Source organism: Homo sapiens, chromosome 4, assembly GCF_000001405.40.
Source record: "Homo sapiens chromosome 4, GRCh38.p14 Primary Assembly".
NCBI lineage: Eukaryota > Metazoa > Chordata > Mammalia > Primates > Hominidae > Homo > Homo sapiens.
This window is the reverse complement of record NC_000004.12, coordinates 62,346,370-62,352,987: the sequence shown is the minus strand read 5'-3', so window position 1 is coordinate 62,352,987 and position 6,618 is coordinate 62,346,370. Positions and strand designations below refer to the sequence as shown.

General features: G+C 33.9%; 1 long non-coding RNA gene across 1 annotated transcript; it reads left to right on the top strand.

Moving 5' to 3' along the window:
* On the top strand, positions 1 to 6,379 carry LOC124900709 (uncharacterized). Its single transcript, XR_007058130.1, has 3 exons — positions 1 to 45; positions 6,040 to 6,096; positions 6,287 to 6,379. It is a non-coding gene; the product is annotated as an uncharacterized LOC124900709 (long non-coding RNA).
* Positions 6,380 to 6,618: the final 239 nt, after the last annotated feature.

Genomic DNA, 6,618 nt, shown 5'->3' with positions numbered 1-6,618 from the left:
GGTAATAGCTGATAATACCTATTCCTGTATAAGTCTGAATTATTGGTAAGTGAGCTGAAATAAAGTAGATATATTTAAAGCCATGGTAGAAATTGAAGCAAATTGAAATTAAAATAGATGCAATCTTTCAATCATTCAGTAGTAAGGAAAACACCACTTTTATGAGCCTTTTCCTTCTGTAGCTGCCTTATATAGCAAGAAACCGTAATCTTTTGAATCATACTTTTTTTTTTTTTGAGATGGAGTTTCACTCTTGTCACGCAGGCTGGAATGCAGTGGTCCGATCTCAGTTCACTACAACCTCTGCCTCCTGGGTTCGAGTGATCCTCCTGACTCAGCCTCCTGAGTAGCTGGGGTTACAGGAGTCCGCTACCACATTCAGCTAATTTTGTAGTTTTAGTAGAGATGGGATTTCCCCATGTTGGTCAGGCTGGTCTCGAACTCCTTACCTCAGGTGATTTCCCTGTCTCAGCCTCCCAAAGTGCTGGGATTACAGGCATGAGACACTGCACCCGGCCAAAACATCCTTTTTTAGAGAGACTTATCAACTCTTCCATATTACAGGTACCACAGATGCTTCTGACCCCTATGTTTTTCCATGTTTTTCATTTGTTTGTTTATGCATATATTGTTCTGCATTTGTTTTTTTTGTTTTTTTTTTTTTGCTTTTTTAGGAGTTCAAGGTGGCTTACCTTTCTTCATTTACTACTATTTCTGCTCCAACCTCAAACGTGATTCAACTTTTATAGAAAGGAAAATATGAAAATAGCCAGTCTAATCATACCACCCCACTTTACTGTTTAATGTGGAGAAAATTGTGGAAGTTAAAAAAAAAGTATTGTATAACTTTGAAGTCAAAAAAGGAGTTTCTAAACCTGACATGCTGAAGCCATAAAGAAAAAAACAATAAGAAATTTAACTACATAAAATTTCAAAACATATGCGTGTTAAAGATACACGGAGTATAGCAAGTCACAAATAAACAACAAAATATCATTTGTAACACATATGATTAAAAAAGAACACATTTTGTTAACATAAAAGAATCTCTTGCAAAGATATTAAAAAAAAAAATAGAAAAACCTGCCAGGCGCCGTGGCTCACACCTGTAATCCCAACACTTTGGGAGGCCAAGACGGGCGGATCATGAGGTCAGGAGTTCAAGACCAGCCTGACCAACCTGGTGAAACCCCGTCTCTACTAAAAATACAAAAATTAGCCAGGTGTGGTGGCAGGCGCCTGTAATCCCAGCTACTCAGGAGGCTGAGGCAGGAGAATCACTTGAACCCAGGAGGCAGAAGTTGAAGTGAGCCAAGATCACATCATTGCACTCCAGCCTGGGCGACAGAGTGAGACTGTGTCTCGAAAAAAAAAAGAAAAGAAAAATAGGTTATCGGGCATAAATGTAAAATTTGCAGAAAAATAGACACAGGATAAATATATAAGATTTTGCTCAACCTCATGAAAATAAAATGAATAAAAATATAAATAGCTTTTCAGATGTTACAGTAGAAAAATCTTTTTTTACATTATTGTTGTGAGTATAAATTAGTGAAAATTATTGACAGTGCCTTGAAAATACCTATAAAAATTTTAAATATGCAGAAGTCTTTGTATAAGCAAATTCAATTTTAGAAATTTGGTCTAGAGACATAAAACACAGAAATATATGAAAAAGTAGCTACAAATATGTTTGTTACAAACTTACTGTAAACATAGAAATTTAAAAATGACCTAATTGTGCATTGATAAGTCAAAAAAAAAAACATGATTCATTGAGATCTTTCCAGGAATGTAATGATTATTGAAAGTGAAATATTCAATCCCACAGTGAACCTCAGCATGAAACAGACATAAAGTGACTCCACCCTTGGCTAACTGATCTCAGACAAACTTCCCCATGAGGGCACTGTAGATGACATGGGAAGATTTAGAGCATGAACTAGCAGCTAACTTATGTTCCATAGGAGGCTTGTGAGTTTTCCCCAATTTTACCTATCAGATAAGTCATTTTTATATAGGGGAGAACTGAGCAGGGGTAAAAGAAAAAGAGAAAGAGAGAGATTGAAAAGTAGTAAGGTTATAATTTTTAAGAATTTCTCTTCATCAAAATCTGAATTCTGAAAGAAATTTCTCTCTGAATAGTAAGCCCTTTTTTTTTAAGAGCTCATTTTTAATGACAGTAAATATAATTTGTTAAAAAGAAAAGGGCAATTTGCTTAATAGAATGGCACTTTCTGGACTTAGAAAAAAAAGAAATCTAGAAAGAAATGTGAAAGTTTTCATGTGATGCATTTATATTTGTATAAGCATAAACATAACCAGAAAGATCCATACAAAAGCAGATGATTATAATTAAGAGAACACAGAGTCATATGGCTTAAGGTGAGAGGAAAAACTTGGAGGATATAAATAATAAAAGAGAATTTAAAGAGAAGATCAAAACCTAAAGTAAATGGAGGATATGTTACTATAGCTTTGAAATAGATGAGTAAAAATTAACCTCCTGATTTGATTTTTCATTCCCTCTCTCTTACCCTCTGTACAGAATAGGTTAATGGCTTTTGTGTCATAACTTATCTTCCTAAAATCCTACTAAAAATTGGATTGGTTTATACTTGGGCTTAATAGACAAAAGACCTTTAGAATGCACTAACTGTTGGATTCTTAAACAAAGAGTTAAGTTTTAGGAATATTTGTTGCAAGGATGAAGATCATACATTCTTCGCATATTCCTGAATGATAGCTACTTTAAGTGGCTGTGACATATTTTTCACCCAATCATGTGACTGTTTAAAAATACTTAGTCTGCCATGTAGTTAACCTAACATATTAAACATATACTATGATAACACAAAGGATCAGATTGTCAAATCTCAATCATATGAATCAGAGATCTAACCAAGTCTGATAGCTTTAGTAATCATTTAGATGCTATAAATAATCACAAGCATAGACAAACAAGGAAAGGTCTGGTATAATATAAGTAACTACATCACTTACACAGAGGAAAGTTGCCTGGGCCAAGAAACATCTCCACTTTCTATTCATATAGTTACATAGCTTCTGAGACATTTCCAGAAAGCTGCCCCATAAATACAAAGATTTCTATTTGTTTACCATGAACCTACTGTAGACAACTTGCTAAAAGCATTCCATAGATATGGACTCTTTCATAAGCAAGTATTCACTAGTTTGTTTGCCAAGAGTTTGATCATTAACATATTTACAATGTTAATTGTAACTTGTTTATTGTAATATTTCATTTGATGTTTGGAGAACAGAGAGTAATACATTTGTTATCCTAATTGGTTGATGGGTCTGTTTTTTAATTATCAGTATCTTAAAATATCTGTATTTACTAATTTGTAAATGTACATCAGCTTTTACCATCCTGGGGTCATAACTAAGAGCAAAGAACCAGAGTGAGTTATATAATAATAGTATAGTGGGGCAGAGTGCAATTTCAGGATTTATGCAAGTTTATAATTGACAAAGGCTATATTTTTTTCTACTGGTATTCCTATTTAGCCTAAGACTAGGGAACTGTCCTAAACAATACAGCATCTTGTGCCTGACTAAAATAATCATTAAATATAGTAAATAAACAAAAGAATATTAATGTTAATGTAGTAAATGTAGGAAGGCATTAATGTAGTCAAGCGTTTATAGTCATTTTATAGGCTATTGTCTATCCAATAAATATGTTATGGCCTGACAGATTCTTCCTACCTGCTGCACAAATGAAATCAGTTCGCTGAGACAGTGGTATTGCAGTAGAGAGAGTTTAATCGACTTGAGATTGGCCATGCAGAAGAACTGGAGTTATCACTGAAATCAGTTTCCTGGAATGCCTGGAGGTTAGGGTTTTTACAGACAATTTGGTGGACAGAGTCTAGGGTATGGGTGCCACTGACTGGTTGGGGCTGAAATCATAGAAGTTGTGAAAAATGGTCCCTGTGCTGCTGAGTCTGCCTCTGGGTGGGGTAACAGATTAGTTGAGTCATGAGTTTGGGTGGGTCAGTCTGAAAACATCTAAAAAAAAAAAAAAACCCAATCCTAGATGTTATCCATAGGAGCAATTGAGAAAGTCACAAATCTTGTGACCTCTGGCCCCATTACCCCTGCCTAGTAAGGGACTGTAGAAACTAAATCTAGCCTGTGACCTCTCATTAGTCTTACAAAGGCAATTTCAATATCCAGTGAGGCAATTAATTGTACAGAGGGACTATTATTATTTTTGTTTTAAAATTAAACTATAAACTAAATTCCTCCCAAAGTAGCATGGCCTACGCTGAGGATGACCAAGGAAAGCTTGGAGGTTAGAAGCAAGATAGGGAGTCAATGGTCAGATTTCTCTTACTGTCATAATTTAGCAAAGGCAGTTTCAGATGTACATTTATGGTATCATACTGCTAACATTTTATATGTCTTCGATGTATCTCTAATATGATAGTAAGAAAACATCTGTCAATAGAATTGTTCAGAAAATATTTGTTAAAAGTCAGCAAAAAGAAATAAATCTTTGAACAATTTTGAAAGTTCAGATGTCAAAACTCATCAGAAATTTTAAAATTGAAATTTAATTTATTTGTCTCTGATCTAGTCCATGCATCTTGGCTACTACTGCACCAGAAGGTATACTAATCAGCTACTCCCAGATGAAAGGCTCATTCATAAAAAGTGTACTTTGGATATTTTAATATATTGTATTTTATGTTCTGTTTTGTTGTTGTTGTTGTTCTTATCAGAGAACTTAGTTTATCTGTCTTGAAAAGCATGATTAGATAATATGTCACTCATCTCTTAACTCAAACCGGGATAAAATTGGACAATACTGAAATGATTAACTCTAGTTTTTTTCTAATAATTTTTCCCATATTTTACACAGACTTGAACTGTCATATGACTCTTTACTAACGTGATATATTAAATTCAAATATAAGCTAATGATTACTATTTCAATTACTTAAATATATGTAGACTTTTTAAAAATTGGACTGAATTGTTATAATTTACACTTAATCCATTAGAAAAATTGCTATTCTAATTAGTGACAAAGTAACAAATTAAGATATAAAATGTGATTGGTACTTTGAAATCCAACTTAATGGATAATTGCTAATCTAATTAGCACATACAATAAACTTTGTGAAATGTTTCATTTGGGAAAGGAGAAAAATGCAACAATACTAACAAAAGCAAGAATAATAAATATGCTTTATTGGCCTACTTGCCACCTAAGACCCAATCTTATAAATAGGAAGCTCCCTTTAAGAGATAATGCAGTCTATGGAGATTCAAAATCTGTCTTGTATCTTATGCTCTATCATGGGGTCAATATTTTGTTATATAAAGAATAAGATGTAGCTATCTGTATTTGATGGTGATAATAATTTTGAAAGTTTATCAATAAAGAAAAAAATAAAAGTATGTATTGGAGAGCAGCTATTCCCTGATAGGTAATGGTTGCTGAAAAACCCTTGAGAATATTTCTAACACAGGTCTTAAAAAATCCTGAAGCCACCATTTTCACAAAACATATAGCACTAATCATCTATATCTATTATGCTAAACAAAATATAACAACTTTGTATGCTCTTTCTATGAGATATGAGACATATCTACAATGTCTACAAATTCTTTGTTAAATGTCTCTTTACTTGAAAATCAGGTTCGATCACCTGCTCTTTAACGCTGTCTTGTTGACAGTAGACAGTCAGTAAAAAGGGCATGAATGACTAAATGTTTTTCTGTTTCAAAACTGTATCTTCTCAGTTTTGTGACCATTAAAACTCAGGCAATTTACTCTCTGATAAATTGAGATTACTTTCTACATCAAAGTTGCTGGGGATGCAACATCAAGCAAGGCAGACAAGACTCCTGGCTCCATCTAACTTACATGGTAGTGGAGGAGGAGTATAATAAACTGATGATGTTTAATATAATGTCAAAAGTGATGAATGCTAGGAGAAAAATAAAGCACAATGAGGGGATTGCTACTTTGATAGGATGGTCATGATAGATTTCTTTGTGCAGGTGACATCTGAGCAGTAACCATAGTGATATGGGGGAAAGAACCACGTGGATTTTGAGGTAAGAATTTTCCAGAAAATAAATATCAATTGTAAAGATCCTATGATGGGATGTTTGATTTGTTCATGTAACAGTAAGTAGATCAGTGTGCTACCATAAATAGTGGTTGAGGATACAGTTAGAAAAGTAGCAAGGAGCTAATCACATAAGTCGGTATGAACCTTACTAAGGATTTCCTCTTTTTTCCTAGGCATGTTTGGGGAACATAGGAGAGTTTTGGCTGGGGAGATTACAACTCATATTTTAAAGGAATCATCTGATTGCTGTAAGAAGGGTCTACTGGGGCTGGGGACAAGAATATAAACAGTTTGGAATCAATTGCAATAATCAAGGTGATAGATTTTGGTGACCTTGCTTCAGAGTTGCAGTTCTGGAGGTAATAAGTGGTAAAATTTGGAGCATATTTTGAAGTAGAGCCAACAAATTTCACTGTTTGGTAGGATTCAAGATTAAAAGTAAAAAGTAATAAGATTTGAATATCATCGTGATATAGTTGTGAAAGAGAGAAGTCAAGGATTTCCC